The 19,601-nt window shown below is 37.8% G+C and overlaps 1 protein-coding gene across 6 annotated transcripts in view; it reads right to left on the reverse strand.

Annotated features, from left to right (window-relative positions):
* PDS5A (PDS5 cohesin associated factor A) overlaps positions 1–19,601 on the reverse strand; it is a 155,049-nt gene that overhangs the window by 25,237 nt on the left and 110,211 nt on the right. For all 6 annotated transcript variants that reach the window (XR_001741185.2, XR_001741188.2, NM_001100399.2 and 3 more), the window contains 6 exons: positions 18,762–18,898; positions 15,237–15,360; positions 14,770–14,974; positions 14,120–14,234; positions 1,421–1,553; positions 752–871 (listed from right to left, as the gene is read on the reverse strand). Coding sequence is in view for 4 of the 6 variants with exons in the window: in NM_001100399.2 (NP_001093869.1) it covers positions 752–871; positions 1,421–1,553; positions 14,120–14,234; positions 14,770–14,974; positions 15,237–15,360; positions 18,762–18,898 (834 nt within the window). In the remaining 2 variants the exon portion in view is untranslated. The remainder of the gene's footprint in view (positions 1–751; positions 872–1,420; positions 1,554–14,119; positions 14,235–14,769; positions 14,975–15,236; positions 15,361–18,761; positions 18,899–19,601) is intronic.

The following is a 19,601-nucleotide window of genomic DNA, read 5'->3' on the forward strand; positions in this document are numbered from 1 at the left end:
TCCACCTCAATTTCTCTGTGGAAAAATTGTCTTCCACGAAACTGGTCCCAGGTGTCAAAAAGGTTGGGAACCACTGCTCTAAGGGGATCATTACTGAGGCATATATATACATTTATAGGAGAAAGTGAAACAAGTTTAAAATACCACCTAACAGCAGGAAATAAACAAAAGCTTTTAAAAATCCAAATTAGCTGGAAAAACTTACAGAGCCTGCGTTACCTGAAAAATTTACTTACATGGGAAACAGTTTGCTGAAAGCAGAATAGATGCACTGTATATTAATTAATAACACCATTTATTGAATGGTTTTATGTGATAAACTCTTCATATAAACCTAGATATTAGCAATTGTCCATATGTATTATTAACATCTGCATTATAAAGATGAAGAAATGGAGGCTTAGAGGAGAGAACCTGTCCCTCCTTACACTGTGCCAAAGATTTAAAATTTTTCTTATCTGCAAAAATACTACCCATGTTTCAATAAAATGAGATTAAAATAATTTTAAAAATCTGAAAACTTTAATACTAGAAATTCCTAGAATAAACATAAGATCAACAGTATGTGTAGTCTTCTGTTCAAGTCAGAATAATGTTCAGGGCTGTGTAAGACAATTTCCCACTCTTTGATAAACCCAGATTTTTTCTTTACTCTGTGGTCAAGACAATTCAATATTTGCCACAATGGTTGATGGTAATTGACATTGAAATCAGTTTAGTGTGGTAGGAAAAATGAGAGGAAGAAAATTACCTTTTCAGGTTGTGTAAAAAATTTCATTGGGAGGACTGGGTCCTTTGGTGAATCTGCATTGCACAAAGCACTTTTACTATTTATAACACAGAGAGCCACATCACATACTGTATACAGTTTCTAGGGAGGAAAACGAATCATATATAACTTTTAGTATTGCAAAATAATCATAATTACCAATTCCACTAAATGTATAATTTAGAGTTAAAAGAAGGATACTGTGGTTGTTATTTATTCCTTGAACATTCCATATTTCTGTTCAGCACTGTTTATGCAGCCTTCTGATAAATAAAAATCCCTCTATATGAATTTAACATGGATGCCAATATGCATGGAAAATAACAAACAAATGAACCAACCCAAAGAAAGCACACAAAAAGAATAAGCATTTGTCTGTAACTCTTACTGTAAGTTCGTAATATACCATAGTTGTACATTTTATTCTTATCCTCTTGCTCTAAGGTTATAATGTCTTTTCAGAGTACTAAAGATTCCTGAAATAAAATTCACTTGTAATGAAGTGCAATAAAAACTGACTACACATTTACTTTTGTAAACATTCTAAAATTTAAATTACTACGTATGGCCAAAAAAAAAAAAAAAAAACCAAGTGGGACAATATATTTTTCTATTACATCTTAACACCCACTGGCCTAACACTCATCTTACTTCATTTGTCTTGGATTCATCTGGAGACTGGGCATCTCTGGTTAACTTGATGTTCTCTGCCATCTTCTTCATAAAGGCATGGCTATTGTTTTCATTCTTTGTCATTAAAACTTCAAGCATGAACCATAGGCACCTAAATGTAAACATATTAAAGAGACTAGACGTAGATAGATGCTTTAGCTTAAAGCAATAAATATGTTAGCTGGGAATTTCTGTTGTCTGAATAAAATAAAATAAAATGATCAACCTTAATGACTAATATATGTTATTATCCTAATAATATTCTATTCAAATGGAAAATTAAAGCATAAAATAACATATAAAAAATGAAAACATAGCTTAATATGAGAAAGTCTGACAGTTTCATAAGGCATATAAAGATTCACCCTAGCTGGATATGGTGGCTCGTGCCTATAACCTCAGCACTTTGGGTGGCTAAGGTGGGTAGATTGCCTGAACCCAGAAATTCGAGGCTGGGCGCGGTGGCTCATGCCTGTAATCCTAGCACTTTGGGAGGCCGAGGTGGGCAGATCAAGAGGTCAGGAGATCGAGACCATCCTGGCTAACATGGTGAAACCCCGTCTCTACTAAAAATACAAAAATTAGCTGGGTGTTGGTGGCAGGCACCTGTAGTCCCGGCTACTCGGGAGGCTGAGGCAGGAGAATGGCGTGAACCCAGGAGGCAGAGCTTACAGTGAGCTGAGACTGCACCACTGCACTCCAACCTGGGTGACAGAGCGAGACTCTCTCTCAAAAAAAAAAAAAAAAGAAATTCGAGACTAGCCTCGTGAGACCCCATCTCTACAAAAAAAATACAAAAATTAGCTGGGCATGGTAGTGGGCTCCTGTAGTCCCAGCTACTTGTGGGGCTGAGGTGGGAGGATCGCTTGTGGTTGCAGTGAGCCATAATCACACCACTGCACTCCAGCCTGGGCAAAAAAGTGACACCCTCTCAAAAGAAAACACAGATTCACCCTATAGGTAAGTTTACATAATCTGATATAACTTAACACCCAGCAATAATGAGCAAATCAACACACAGCAGTCTTGGGATTTTGATTATTTGTAAGCTATGCAGAAGTTCTACAATTGGTATGCAGTTCTGCCGAGAAACAAGTCTAAGTTGCATGTATTATGAGGCTGATGTGTGTGGTACCCAGCCACCCAATTAAGGAGTCACAATCTCAAACCACTTTTGCTATTCCACACTTGTCACTGTATATTCATTTAACACATTGTGTCTGAAGGGAACATTTGAATTTCTAAGTAAAAGTGAACCCCAAATCAGGCTGAACATTAGAATTGTTTGGATAACTTAAATAGACAAATCTGGAAATGGGGCCTGTTTTTACAAAGATCCCAGTATTTTCAGGCAGTGACATGACTACTGCATTCCTGCATCAACAGGGGAGAAACTATTTGATGATACTCTGTAAAAGCTTCTTTTCCTACATTCCACATAATTGTTTTAAGAGACTACTGTAGCATGCATTAGTTTTTTAGCTTAATGGCTTAAATGATAGTTGGTTGTTTCAATAATATTTATTAACTTAGGCAAAGAGTTGTCAACTCTACTTAGATACTGGATAGCTGCTAGAATCCTGATCAAAGAAAGGAACAGAATAATGAATAACAACAAATATAATAAAAATTAGCAAATATTTAATGAGTGCTTACTATCTACTAGGCATTAGGCTAAGCACTTTACCTTCATATAATCCTCATGACTCTATAAAGAATAAGAAAAATCGTCACCATTATATATAGAACCTATTTTTTTTTTTTTTGGTCTGTCTTTTGAGACAGAGTCTTGCTTGCCTCTCAGGCTGGAGTGCAGTGGCGTGATCACAGCCCCAGCAACCATGGTGTCCTGGGCTCACACTATCCTCCTACCTCAGCTTCCTGAGTAGCTGGGGCTACAGGCATGTGCCACCATGTCTGGCTGATTTTTATAGAGCTGGGGTTTCGCCAGGTTGCCGACTGGTCTTGAACTCCCAGGCTCAAGCAATCTACCTGCCTTGGCCTCACAAAGTGCCAGGACTGCAGGCGTAAGCTACCACTCCTGGCTATCTAAATATTTTTTTTGAGGCATTAAGTAACCTGTTTAGGGTCACAGAGATAAAAAGATGGAGCTAGGATTAGAACCAGGTCTGCTTTTATACTTTTAACAAAAATACACAAAATAAATATAATAAACATTATCTGAGCAACTATATACTAAACAAAGGTGACAACACTGAACACATCGGTTCTATAGGTTTGAGGATTCTATTTGTTTATATAAACACTGAAATCATTTCCTTAATTCTTGGGTCAGAATTCTGTTGAGTTTCTATTAACTTGAAGATTTGTTTGATCCCTTTCCACAGAAGTATAGGGTCAGGATTACTCTCAGTTTTAGGGGATAAGGTGAGGAAGCATTCCTATGCAGGGTTTCTTTAAAAAGTTGTAACAAAAAAATCTTGCAATAAGGTTTTAAACATTAGTATATACATAAAATACTTGAATGTACATCAACATAATAGAGAATTTATTCCTTGAAGTAACTGGAAAAAAGTATGATTGTCTTGTGATAAGAATGCCAATTCCACCTTAATTTTATGCAGATATGCTGAGACTAATGTGCTATCTAACATGAACCAATTGACTCAATAAATTTTAGTACTTGGAAGTTGTTCAATATAATGTTACATTTAAAACAGGATACAAAACAATACATATATGTATTATAAAACAATATATAATAGATATTAAAACAGCATTTTTTGAAATTAGAATATGTTGAAATCCCTGGGGCCATGTCTCACTTCTGCATCCTCAATACTGCCCAAGAAATGTAATCATTAATGTTTACCCATCCTACGAAGTACACAGATTCCCATGATCCTCTGCTTCTTCTTGCCTTATCCAAGGGAGCTAATTCCTCTCCATCTCGTATCTTTTCACTGAACTCTCTAGAATATACTTTCCCTCCAAAAAGAATCTTCAATGAATGCTCACTTCACCTTTTTGCCGTAACTGAAACCATACCCCCACCCCAAGAATGCTTGCCTTGCATTCCCCTAAAAGTTATAACTGCTCATTCTATTAGATGATGCATACTTAGGGTCAGAGAGTGAGTTCAGCTTCTATCATCCCCAAAGCTAATTCCAGTTATTCTTCCAGGTTTATGTAAAATTACTCCTAGGAAGCTTGTGCCATTTGGCTGCTTCTACCATCCTCTCCTTGTCAATGTTATCTATCAGCTTCCCTATGTTCCTTGCGTTGATTTAGTTTCTGGATGACATTTTTCCTTGACTCCATCTTTAAGTCCTGCCAATTTTCTGGGCAATCTGTTCAACACGATTTCCTAATTCCTTGGCTGTTCTAATCCTGGTAAATTTTATCTTTGCCTAAGACATTTCACTGCCTCAGACATTCCTAGACTTTGTTAATCTTTAGAAATTGTTCGCCTGTGAAATTATAAATTCACTGCAGCCTACCTCCTGGGCTCAAGCAACGCTCCTGCCTCAGCAGGGACTGAGTAGCTGGGACTGCAGGGACTGAGTAGCTGGGACTACAGGCACATGTTACAACACCAAGCCAATTCAAAAAAATTATTTGTAGAGATAAGATCCTGCTATGTTGTTCAGGCTGGTCCTGAAATCCTGGACTCAAATAATCCTCTTGTCTTGGCCTCTCAACATTTTAATCACTTTTTTGAAAACAGTATCAACTCTTAACAATTTTCCTTCTGGTACACTTGCTTTGAAAAACTCAAGAACAATCCAAATCTTTGGCTTCTTGACAGCTATATTTAGAATTGTTTAATGCTACAGAAAAACCATGTAGCTGAGAAGCTTGATATAATTATAAATTTAAAATTTTTAGCTTGGTACTTTATGCTACCCAGCTATCCTATGTGTCACCAGGATTTTTAGCCACTTCTTCACAGCAGCTGTTTCCAATCTTTACTCTACTCATATCTAATTCTGTCACCCTCACCTACCAGTAGACTCTGCTCCTATATCATTTAGAAACCTAAGTCATTAAGATGAGACTTCCTCAACTACTTAACAGCAGTCCTGGAAAATTATTTTTATTTCCTGGCCTTCCCTTTATCTATCTTTAAGATCCCACCACCCCATAAATTCTTCTTTTTGAAGACCTCACCTCAATTTATTACCATCGTTTCTTTTACCTACAACCACACTTTTTCCCCTGGCTCCTTAAATACTTTCTATTGCCTTCTTCCTCCCCAATTCATAGCCAATTTTTAAAAAAGATTTGTCTAAACGATATGTATTCCTTATCTTTTGGCAATTTGGCTTTCACCTGCATTGCTTTACTACAGCTGCCCCTGCCAAGGTTATCAGTGAGTGCTTTGTTGCTAAACACATTTTAAACAATTTTTCCAACCAGTAAGCAAATAAACACAGTTTGTTCTTAAATTCAAAGGACACGTATTAGCTGTGTGACTTTACCCTTGCTGGTATCTTCATTTGTAAAATGGGAACAACAGGATGCGTGCGGTGGCTCACGCCTGTAATCCCAGCACTTTGGGAGGTCAAAGCAGGTGGATCACCTGAGGCCAGGAGTTTGAGACCAGCCTGGCCAACATGGCGAAACTCCATCTCTTAAAAAAAATACAAAAATTAGCTGGGCATCGTGGTGCATGCCTGTAGTCCCAGCTACTCGGGATGCTAAGGCAGGAGAATCACTTGAACCTGGGAGGCGGAGGTTGCAATGAGCCAAGATCACACCACTGCACTCCAACTTGGGCGACAGAACGAGACTCCATCTCAAAACATAAACAAAAACAAAAATAAAATGGGAACAACAGTAATTATCCCATTGTTTTGAAGAATAAATGAGGTAACATTTCCAGTACACGTAACATATAATAAAAAGCCAATGAATGTTAGCTGGTTCCTGATCATTTTTCCAAACTGCTGTTCCTTTGACCTCCAATATTCTTCCTCCAGGTCGTTTTCTGATTCTCTGTTCTTTCCAGTAGTGGTATGTCTGAAGTCTACACTATTAGAAGTTCTGCTCTACAGATTATTTTTTTCTTCCTCCTCTTTTTAACTTCTGACTCCCTGCAAGTGTGAGTTATGTGCCTATTCTAGGTACTCCCACAATAGCAGAGCATATATCACATATCATATTGTAACCACCTCTTTATCTTTCTTCATCTTCCATTAGATTGTAAACCTTAAGGGAATATATATGATATTCATATTACATAACCTCACAACCCAAGAACTTAGCGTACCTGGCACATTGAAAGTACTCTATAAATATTTGTTAAGGAAATATGAACATATGAAGAAGAAAAAGTGTTGAAAGATACAGACCAAATTGTTAACAGCAATGAAGGGCTTTTAGGGGGTATAATTACGAATAATTGTTTTCTTCTTAATGAATTCATTTTCAATTTTTTCTTACTGAATATCAATAAAGGAGAAAGGTAATTATTAAACATTAAAGGCTATATTTAAGTACGATTTTTCAAATTCAAATACATTATTACTGATGTCAGAAAAATGGCAGAGTAAGAAATTTCAGATATCAATTGCAACAACAAAACAACTATTAAGCTGGAAAAAAACAATCATAATCACCTGTGCAGAACTCTGGAACCTCATGGGACCCAGCAACCAGGGGTAAACACCTGGTCTGATGGAGGAAGAGGGGATGAACCTCAACAGTGAAGGGAATCTATGTCAGGGTCACAGGCTGACCATAAAGATAACAGAACTATAACTTCAAGGTCTACACAAAACAAGGAATACAGACTTTGTGAAAGTAGTTTGGAAAAGTCAGAATGGTGGACTGCGCCCTACAAGAACCAAAAGCAATCTAGAAAGAGAGGAAGAACCAGATTTTTAGAGTTATCACATTATAGTACTTAAAATGTCCAATTCCTAACGAAAAACTACAAATCACATAAAGAATCAGGCAAATATGACTAATTCACAGGGAAGAAGAAAGAATTAGGAATTAACCCTGAGGAGGCCCAGATTTTAGAGTTACTAGTCAAAGACATTAAATCAACTGTCTTAAATATGCTCAATGAGATAAAAGAAATAAAGATAATCATATGTATGAACAAGTAGAGAATACTGATAAAGAGACAGAAATAATTAAAAGGAACCAAGTAGGAATTCCAGGACAGAAAATTATAACAGCTGAAATTAAAAATTCACTCTAGGAGGATTCAATGGCCGACTACAGCAGGCAGAAAAAAGATTCAGTAAACCTGTAGACAAGGCAATTGAAAATACTCAGTCTGAACAGAAAGAAAAGAGAATGAAGAAAAACAATCTAATGAACCTGCAAGAAACAATCAGAAATACTAACATTAGACATCATGGAATTTCCAAACGGAAAGACAGAAAGTAGCAGAAAAAATATTTGATGAAATAATGGTCAAAAACTTGCAAATTTTATGAAAGATGTGAATTTATACATCCAAGAAACTCAGTGATCTCCAAGCAGGATGAAATCTGAAACCCACACTGAGACACATCAGGGTCAAATGGTTGAACATTTGATAAAGAGATAAAGGATAAAGGTCTCTTGAAAGCAGCCAAGAAGGAAGTGACTCATGTTAAAGGATCCTCAATAAGAATAACAGCTGATTTCTCATCAGAAATCATAATGGCCAAGAGGCAGTGGGATGACATCTCCAAGTTCTAAAAAAACAAAAAACAAAAAAACCCCAACAACTCGTCAACCAAGAATCTTATATCCTATATAAGATTTGTCTTTGTCCAAGAATAAAGACAAAATCAAAACATTTTCCAAATAAACAAGAGCAAAGGGAGTTTGTCATCAGTAGACCTGTCTTATGAGAAATGCTAAAGTGAGTCCATCAGGCTGAAATGAAAGAACACTACATAGTAATTTAAAGCCATAAGAAGAAATAAGTAAATCTGGTGAAAGTAACCATACAGGTACATTTAAAAGACAGTATTACTGTACTTTGGCTCATAACTCACTTCTTTCATACATGATTTAAAAGGAAAATGCGGCTGGGTGCAGTGGCTCATGCCTGTAATCCCAGCACTTTGGGAGGTCAAGGTGGGTGGATCACCTGAGGTCAGGAGTTCAAGACCAGCCTGGCCAACATGGTGAAACCTTGTCTCTACTAAAAATACAAAAATTAGCCAGGCGTGGTGGCGGGCACCTGTAATCTCAGCTACTCGGGAGGCTGAGGCAGGAGAATTGCTTGAACCTGGGAGGCAGAGGTTGCAGTGAGCCAAGATCACGCCACCGCACTCCAGCCTGGGCAACAGAGTGAGACTCTGTCTCAAATAAATACATAACTAAATAAATAAATAAAAGGAAAATGCATAAAACAGTAACTGTAAATCTAAATCTAAGTAAATGGGAATACAGCCTATAAAGATGTGATTCGTGATAATAAAAAATAAAGGGAGGGAAAATACAGATGTAGAAGAGCAATGTGTCCATATGCTATTGAAACAAATTTGCTACTATTCAAACTAGGTTGTTAGAAGTTTGAGATGTCAGCTGTGATCTAAAACCTAATGAAATACTAAAAATGGCCGGGTGCAGTGGCTCATGCCTGTAATCTCAGCACTTTGGGAAGCCAAGGCAGGTGGATCACGAGGTCAGGAGATCGAGACCATCCTGGCTAACACGGTGAAACCCCGTCTCTACTGAAAATACAAAAAATTAGCTGGGCATGGTGGCAGGTGCCTGTAGTCCCAGCTACTCAGGAGGCTGAGGCAGAAGAATGGCGTGAACCCGGGAGGCGGAGCTTGCAGTGAGCCGAGATCGCGCCACTGCATTCCAGCCTGGGCGACAGAGTGAGACTCCATCTCAAAAAAAAAAAAAAAAAGGAAAGAAATAGCTAAAAACTTTTACAAAAGAGAAGTCAGAAGGTTCACCACAAAAAAGCCAACTAAATACAAGACAAAGAGGCAAAATTGGAGGAATTCAACAAAAAACAAATAAGACATGCAGAAAATATACAGCTATTTTGCAAAACTAACTCCTTCCTTTTCAGTAATTACTTTTAATGTAAAAGGATGTAAAGATATTTCATGTAACAGTAACCATAAGAGAGATAAGTGGCTATTTTATTATTAGATAAAATAGATTTAAACTCAAAAAGGTAAGAAGAGACCACAAAGACTGTAGTGATAAAAGGTCAATCCAGCAAGAAAATGTGACTGTAATAAATATATACAAAACAAACAAGAAAGTCCCCCAATCTATGAAGCAAAAAATGGACAGAACTGAAGGGAGAAATAGTGAGTGCCTTAATAAGAACTGGAGACACCAATAACCCATTTTCTTTTTTCTTTTTAATTTTTAAAAATAGAGACAGAGTCTCACTATGCTGCCAGGCTGGTCTCAAATTCCTGGGCCCAAGCAATTCTCCCGCCCCGGCCTCCCAAAGTTGCTGAGATTACAGGTGTGAGCCACCATGCCTGGCCAAGAATAAAATGTTTAGAAATAAATTTAACCAAGGAAGACGAAGACCTATACCCAGAAAACTACAGAACAGTGCTGGAAAAATAAATAAATGAATACATAAATAAAATAAAAAATTAAAGGTCTAAATAAATGCAAAGACATCCTGTGCTAATAGATTAGAAGACTTAATACTGGTAAGATAACAATATCACCCAAGGCAATATACAGATTCAGTCCCATTCCTATCAAAAGTACAATGGAATTTTTTAGAAATATAGATAAATGCAACCTAAAATTCACAGGAAATATCAAAAGCCAAAACAATCTTGAAAAAGAACAGAAATCAGACTTCTCAATTCTGAAACTTATTATAAAGTTACAGTAATGACAGAGTTACATGGCATAAGGCCAGACATACAGACAAATTAAATAGGATTGAGAGCCCAGAAGTAAGCCCTTGCATATATGGTCAGTTGATTTTTGACAAGGGTGCCAAAACCAATCTCTGGGGAAAGAACAGTCTCTTCAAAAATGGTACTGGAAAAACTGGATATTCACAAACAAAAGAATGAATCTGAATGTTTACCTTATACCACATGCAACAATTAATTTACAATGGATCAAAGATCTTAACTAAAGAGCTAAAAACTATAAGTCATGGAAGAAAATGCAGTAAAATTTTCTTTTTTTTAAGATGCAGTTTCACTCTTATTGCCCAGGCTGGAGTGCAATGGTGTGACCTCGGCTCATTGCAACCTCCACCTCCCAGGTTCAAGCAATTCTCCTGCCTCAGCCTCCCGAGTAGCTGGGATTACAGGCGCCCTCCACAACGCGTGGCTAATTTTTTATATTGTTAGTAGGGACAGGGTTTCACCATGTTGGTCAGGCTGGTCCTGAACTCCTAACCTCAGGTGATCCACTGTGCCCGGCTGAAAACACAGTAAAAAATTTTTATGAACTTGGATTTGGTTCCTTAATTATAACAAAAGTACTGTATAGGCAACAAAAGAAAAAATACACTGGGCTTCATTAAAGTGAAAACTTTTGTGCATCAAAGGCTACTTACTATCAAGAATGTAAATCATATACCTGATAAGAGATAAATACCCAAATATATAAAGAACTCTTACAACTCAATAACAAAAAGACAACCCAATTAATAAAAGGGCAAAGTCACTGGACATTTCTCCACTTAAATGTATGATTAAAAGTGGTAAAAAACTGCAAATTTTGCTATATATATTTACCACAATTAACAAAAAAATTGTTTCTGACACAATAACTTACTAATTTCCATAAAGTTATGTAACTACATTTTGAAAAACTTAAAAAAACAAACAAACAAAAAAAACCAGACTGGGTTTCCTGTCACCCAGGCTAGAATGCAGTAACTGGATCAGAGCTCACTGCAGCCTTCCACTCCTGGGCTCGGGCAATCCTTCCACCTCAGCCTTCCAAGTAGCTGGGATTACAGGTGAGACCCACCACACCCACCATGAAAAACATTAGTTGGAACTTCAAATTACATGGTAATTTAAACATTATGTTTAAAGATACACAAAAGTGGAAATGATTTCAGCAAGATAGTAGAACATCTAGAAAACATTTAAGACAAGAATACCATCTTTAATGCACCTGAAGTAGGGGGAGAAGAACTAAGTGATGCCACCACTGGTAAGAGAAACAGTTCAATTTCAGAGTGCACCACCCTGGTCTCCTAAACTGTCAGAACACCACTCGCACACAATTTCCCTAGACTCGTGGTTTCTGAGATGAGAGGAACTAGATGTGGAACTCCGAGCTCTCCACAAGTCTGGGAAGCCCACTCCAGTCCTGTCCCATGGGAACCACTGGGAGTGCTAGATGGGCAGAACCACCTGGGATGAACTGGGGACAAAGAGCAGGGCACTGACTGTGCTTAAACTCTGGTGACTACTCACTGCTCCAATCAGTGGGGACACCATGTTGAAGCTACTATGGAAAACAGTATGATGGTTCCTCAGGCTGGGTGTGGTGGCTCATGCCTGTAATCCCAGAAATTTGGGAGACCAAGGTGGGAGGATTGCTTGAGCCCAGGAGTTCAAGACTAGCCTGGGCAACATAACAAGATCGCATCTCTATAAAGAGAGAGAAAAAAAAAGGTTTCTCAAAAAAACAAAAACAGATCTGCCATATAATCCAGCAATCTCACTGCTGGATATATATCCAAAATAAAGGAATTCAGTACATCTTGGCCGGGCACAGTGGCTCATGCCTGCAATCCCAGCACTTCGGAAGGCCCAGGCGGGTGGATCACTTGAGGCCAGTAGTTGGGAGACCAGCCTGGGCAACATGGTGAAAACTGGTCTCTACTAAAAATACAAAAATTAGCTGGTTGTGGTGGTACACGTCTGTAGTGCTAACTCCTTGGGAGGCTGAGGCATGAGAATAGCTTTAAGTGGGGAGGCAAAGGTTACAGTGAGTTGAGATCATTCCACTGCACTCCAGCCAGGGCAACAGAGTAAGACACTTGTCTCAAAAAAAAAAAGGAAAAAAAGGAAAAAAAGAAAGGAAATTAGTAGATCTAAGAGATGGATGCATTTCCATGTTTACTGTAGCACTATTTACAACAGCCAAGATATGGAATCAACCTAAGTGTCCCTCAACAGATAAATTAATTAGGAAAATGGAGGATATACACACATACAATGAAAAATTACTCATCCATAAAAAAGAATGAAATTCTGTCATTTTCAGCAAAATGAACAGAACTTGAAGTCATTATGCTCAGTGAAATAAGCCAAGCCCAGAGACAAATATCGCATGGTCTCACTCATATGTGGGCACTGAAAGAGTGAAGGCCAGGCACAGTGGCTCACGCCTGTAATCCTAGCACTTCAGGAAGCTGAGGCAGGAGGGTCGCTTGAGTCCACGAGTTTGAGACCAGCCTGGGCAACACAGTGAGACCCCATCTCTACAAAAAATACAAAAATTAGCTGGGCATGGTGGCACATGTAGTCCCAGCTACTCAGGAAGATGAGGTAGGAGATTGCTTTAGCCCAGGAGGTCAAGGTACAATGAGCCCTGATCACACCACTGCACTTCAGCCCGGGGGATAGAGTAAGAACTTGTCTCATTAAAAAAAAAAAAAATAGAATAAAAATGAAGATCTTATACAGGCAGACAGTAGAAGGGTGGTTATCAGAGCCTGTCAAGTGTAGAAGGGAAGGGGGAATAAAGAGAGACTGGTTGCCAAGTGCGGTGGCTCACGTCTGTAATCCCAGCACTTGGGGAGGCTGAGGCAGGGGGATCACAAGGTCAGGAGAGCAGCCTGGCCAACATGGTAAAACTCCATCTCTAACAAAAATACAAAAAAAGATTTAGCCAGGAGTGGTGGCAGGCACCTGTAGTCCCAGCTACTCGGGAGGCTGAGATGGGAGAATCACTTGAACTAGGGAGGCAGATGTTGCAGTGAGCCAAGATCGTGCCACTGCACTCCAGCCTGGGCAAAAGAGCAAGACTCCATCTCGGAAAAAAATAAAGAGAGAGAGACTGGTTAATGGGTACAAAAATACACTTAGATACAAGGAATAAGTTCTGACATTTGATACCATGGTAGGGTGACTATAGTTAACAATAATTTATTTGTATTTTAAAAATTTTATTGTTACTATTATTTTTCAGAGACAGGGTCTCGTTCTATCACCCAGGCTGGCATGCAGTGGCTTAATCATAGCTCATTGCAGCTCCAATTGCCTGGGATGAAGAGGAAATGGATATCTTAATTACTCTGATTTTCTCATTACACATTGTATGCATGTACCAAAATATTACGTGTACCTCATAAATGTATACAATTATTATGTATCAAAATTTTTTAAAAGATATTTGAAAGTGTTGCATGCTAGAGAGAACAAAGAATAAAAAATATGCTCCACTGTTTTCAGTTCCAACTCCAATTATTTCACATACTTCAGTACTCTTCCCATATTCAAACCCTCTCAATATAAATAGTAAAAATCAAATATAATAACTAAGATAACCAAACTAACCTATTTCAAAGACTTAGATAGCTTAACTAGCTGCAAACAAACAGAAAATGAACAACCAAAACCTGGTAGATGGGAAAATTTTTGAAAGACGAAACTGGAAATTTATAATAAATGAATAAAACCATAAGGAGATTCTAATTCTAATGTAAATAATAAATAAAAATAATAAACAAAAAATTTACCATTTTTTGAAAACTAAACATAATTTTTAGAGTTCTTGAAAAACAACAAGACTTACTCTTTGATATCACGAAGCTGATCAACATCTTGTGATCTTGTAAAATCTGGATCATGGGCTAGCAGGTGAATCATGTATGGAACTACATATTCAGGCAACAGTGATAATAATTTCTCTGAAGTAAAAACATTATTAAAAACAACCTTTATAAAATGCCTTAGTGGACTGAGTTCTAACCACTTAAGTTTTCATTTTTTCCCTCAGTTATTTCTAAATTAGGCACAACATGATACCTGGATACTAAAATACTTTACACTTCACTTTTCAATTTCTTTTTCTGGTACCTGGTATGCAGTTGTATTTCACTTTTGAAAGATACTGAAGTCAAAGGTATCAGATATTAAACCCATTAAACAACAGGTCCCTGGCAAAGCTAGGAAAAAATTATTTAGTCTGACATCCGAGCAATATGTTCAAATTAAACTACACTCCTGATCCCATAGGAAAAATGCAGTTTGCCAGAGTTAATGCAGCATAAATAGGACTCAGGAGTTCAGTTTTTAAGTACATCATAACTACAATGACAGCATTCTATAAAACTCCCAGTTTTATTATAAACTATAATAGAAACACATGACAAGAAAAAAAAAACCTAAAAATGGATACATTGACAAAATATATTTGCACACGGAGAACTCTGAGTTACTTACCAGTAGCCATAGGATTCTGCTTAATGTATTCCCTGCGTATACTGATATTTTTCAGTAAACATTGTCGTGCGTGTGCTCTTCTCTCCTTCACAGGATCTTTGGCACACAAGGCAAAGATCGCCATATACTCCAATGGGAGCAGTAACTTCACAAGTGCCTTATGCAGCTTCTGAGCAAATATCTGCCTTACTTGGTAACACTCATCCTACAGCAGCACAGAAAAACTTAAATTGGCAACCATTTATTAAATAAAAAACAGCAGTTTAAGTATTTTTAGTGTCTTCAATTAAAAAGAAGATAATTATATGGGAGAATAAATAATGTAATAATTGGAAGACAGTTAAACAGGTAATAATAGTAGTGACTTTTGTGCATATATTCACATTATAAATGGATTTGTATCCATAGAAAAGTAATGTATTCAACTTTGAAGATAAGTAATTGACAAAAATAAGATTGTTACTTACATTAATAACAAGTGCACAGAGCTGAAACTGTTCTGGGGTAATAATTTCATGGTAACAAGGTTCCTGAGCAAGCTTCATTATGGCACTACCAGCAGCTAATCGCAAGCGAGACATATCAGATTTACTATAAACAAACAAAAAAGAAATAAACATTTCCTATAACCACTATCATTCATAAAAATGCTTTCGTCCCTTTTTGAATGTAAGGTCCTTAGAGCATAATTTATGTTTAAAATGACGTACAAATATGGGAAAGCTACTTTGAGTCCATGAACTTAACACAGGGGATTGTGACTTTCACAATCAAATCAAATCATTGTGACTTTCTGATTACAAATTTACCTGCCTTCATTTCTAGTCAAACTCTAGCTTAGATACTTCACCACAACCCAAAAACTCTGCTTATTCTTGCAACCATAGTAATTGCAAGGCTAGGAAAAACTCTTTACATCAGGAGCTGTATCCCTCATTTTAAGAGAAATACATATTGATTGTAGAAAACTTGATTAAAGTGGCCAGGCATGGTGGCTCACACCTGTAATCCCAGCACATTGGGAGGCCGAGGTGGACGGATCACGAGGTCAAGAGATTGAGACCATCCTGGCCAACATGGTGAAACCCTGTTTCTACTAAAAATACAAAAAATTAGCTGGGTGTGGTGGCACGCACTTGTAGTCCCAGCTACTTGGGAGACTCAGGCAGGAGAACTGCTTGAACCTGAGAGGTGGAGGTTGCAGTGAGCCAAGGTCGCACCACTGCACTCTACCCTGGCAACAGAGTAAGACTCTGTCTCAAAAAAAACAAAAAACAAAAAACAAAAAACAAAAAAACTTGATTAAAAAAACCACAAAGAATTAAAAAAAAAATCACCTATCATCATTTAAAATCTATTTCCTGCATATAAACATGTAACAGGAATCTAGTTTAATGCCTGCTGAAATGGCAGGGCTGCAGTTAAGAGTGAAGAAGTATCAGACAAATACCTAAAGGATATGAAATATAAGAGGCCAGTGTCTGTCTTAGGTACTAGTTCCTGGGGCTGATCTCCTTTTGCAGAGTAAAGTTTTCAAATGGAACCTATGAAGCCTTGGCACTCCCACCCCGACACTGTGGATTTTTATTACTTACGTGGTAAAATGTGGTAATGAATGGGATGGCATGGGAGTCTTTCTACTTCGACTTCTATGTGGAACATAGCATGGCTTTTGTATTTATTGTGACCACTTTACGAAATGCAGAAAGCTAGCCGGAACCCACTGGGACTGTTGCTAAGCATAGAGAGAAGAAAACCTGGCACTCTTGGACAACAGGATTGTTAAAATGAGCACTGGTAACAATGAGGGAGCCTCAAATGGTTTCTATGGCATTCATTCAGGAATCAAAGTTAATAGCTATTATGTGAGTGCTTACTCCGTGCCAGGCAGGTGTGAAAAACACTTTATAGGCTTTATCTCAATTAATTTTCACTCCATAAGATGAGGAAATTGAGGCTTACAAAAGGTAATACTATATTATATGATATCCAGTTAGGATCTGTCCAATGGGTGTTCATTCTATGGTTAACCATTCCCCTATTTTTTGTGATGGAAAATAATGCTGGAGGAACATGCTTGTGTATAAGCTTTCATATGATTCTTTTATACTCATGAATTATGAGTGTAAAAATAAAGAGTCAAGGATAACATTTTTGAGGATCTAGATGCAAAATGCCAAAGAGTCCTGCTAATTTATACTCATAGGAGTAATGAAGGAACCCATTTCCATGATCATACTGAGGAATGATTGCTTATAACGTTTTTTTTTCTTTCTGATTTGTAATGAAAAGAGGTATTGATTAAGTTTAAATTGTATTGACTGCATTTAGTGATGTTAAACTTTTAAAAGTAAACTGATAATAGCTAAACTTCATCTCCACTGGGGGTCCTGCCTAGGTATCACTGACTTGTAAGAGCTCATTATTATGCCTTTGCCATGTACTGTACATAATTACCCCCAATTTAAAGCTTTCATTATCCCTAACTCAGCTCTAAACAGTGTTATAAAAGGCTGCCTTTGGCTTATTCTATGATAAAAATAGAGCGTAGTGGTGCACACCTATAGTCCCACTACTCAGGAGGCTGAGGCAGGAGGATTGCTTGAGCCCAGCTAGCCTGGGCAACATAGTGAGATCCCATTCCTAATCACAATAATTTTTAAAAAAATTAATAGCATAGCAGTACCACATAACTAGCCAAAGCTGGAGTACAATGGCGTGATCTTGGCACACTGCAACCTCCACCTCCTGGGTTCAAGTGATTTTCATGCCTTAGCCTCCCCAGTAGCTGGGATTATAGGCACGTACCACCACACCTGGCTAAATTTCTATATTTTTAGTAGAGACAGGGTTTCAACATGACCTCAATTGATCTGCCTGACTTGGCCTACCAAAGTGCTGGGATTACAGGCGTAAGCCACTGCACTCAGCCTCATAAAGAATGATTAAACCTCTGTCCTCTAAAACAAATTTTTAAAAAGGAATGCATCATATGTAGAATACTTTAGTTATCTATGTTGGTAATCTTGGCCCCTACTAAATCAAGAATTTGACAGAAACCAGGATCATGAAAAACTGAGCTTCTATTTTCATCTTAAAATGAGATGGCAATTTTAGAGATTAAAAGTGAAAATGTGTAACAATGTAAACAATCTCTGTGTGCACATACAAGTGTACACACCCAAATCTGTAGAACAACAAGAAGGCTTCAACTCTCCCTTGAGTTGCCATTGCAATTTTTATTTTTATTTATTTATTTATTTTGAGACAGGCTCTCGCTCTGTTGCCCAGGCTGGAGTGCGGTGGCACGATCTCAGCTCACTGCAACCTCTGCCTTCTGGTTTCAAGCGATTCTCCTGCCTCAGCCTCCTGAGTAGCTGGGATTACAGGCATGTGCCACCATGCCTGGCTAATTTTTGTTTTTTGTTTTAGTAGAGACGGGGTTTCACCATATTGGCCAGGCTGGTCTTGAACTCCTGACCTCGTGATCTGCCCGTCTCGGCCTCCCAAAATGCTGGGATTACAGGCATAGGCCACCGCGCCTGGCTGCCACTTAAATTTTTATTACTTTCATGGGACTCAAGTCACTCCACTTATTTAATCGCTTTAATACAGGGATGCTCTTTGAAGGCAGGGACTTTTCCTACTTATTTTTGCTGCAATGCTTTTCACAGTGTTTTATGAAGTAGAAGTTTAACAAATACTTGTTTAATTGAACCAAATGTTGATGCTAACTGTAATAGTACAATATAGTGATTATGATTATGTATTTACTGGAAAAAGTTCCTCTTCTTTAGGAATGAAGAAAAATATATTGGCACTATTAAAATAACAATACTGACAGACAGACAAACCCTAAATGAGTACATAAGATCTGACCCTGAAGATCATGGTGTAATTACACCATTCAGTATTCATTAGGTAAATAATTCCTATGTAAATTCCACCAAAATTTCAGCACTAAGAAAACTGGAAAGAAAGAAAAATCTCACCTGATCCTCTTTTGCTCTGTCAGGTCACCCTCACTAACCAACATCGCTGATAATAACCGAAGGGTTGAATTGGCAGATTTAGACTGGTTGTTTTTCATACCCAACAGCCACCTTACCAGAAGTTTAATTGCCTGTACCTATAAAATATTAACATGCTAAAAAAAGAAAGCAACTTAAAATTCCAATTAAAGGGAAAATTAATTTAATTAGATTAATGAGATTACTCATCTCCATCAGCAGACATTTTATTAAATAAGTCTATGGGATAATAACAGCAACAATACGAACTAATATTTACTCTGTGCTTAACCAGTGCCAGGCACTTTTCTTAGATCTGTAAATGTATTAACTTATTTAATCTCCCAAAAAATTCTTATGAGGAAGATTTTTTTTTTTCCAACAGATAAGGCAATTGAGACACATTATTATCATAGATAACTTGCTTAAAAGTCTGGTTCCAGAATTTAGGCTTCTCATACTTAGATGTTTGTGCAAGATTTTGAAACTATTTGAAAACATATACTTTAAAAACAACAATTTAAACTATACAGGCCGGGGGTGGTGACTCACGCCTGTAATCCCAGCACTTTGGGAGGCCAAGGCAGGTGGATCACTTGAGGTCAGGCGTTTGAGACCAGCCTAGCCAACATGGTGAAACCGTGTCTATACTAAAAAACCCCGTCTCTACTAAAAAAAAAAAAAAAAAAAAATTAGTCAGGCATGGTGGCACACGCCTGTAGTCCCAGCTACTCAGGAGGCTGAGGCATGAGAATTGCTTGAACCCGGGAGGCAGAGGTTGCAGTGAGCTGAGATTGTGCCACTGCACTCCAGCCTGGGTGA

Source organism: Homo sapiens, chromosome 4 (genome assembly GCF_000001405.40).
Source record: "Homo sapiens chromosome 4, GRCh38.p14 Primary Assembly".
In the NCBI taxonomy this organism is placed as follows: Eukaryota; Metazoa; Chordata; class Mammalia; order Primates; family Hominidae; genus Homo; species Homo sapiens.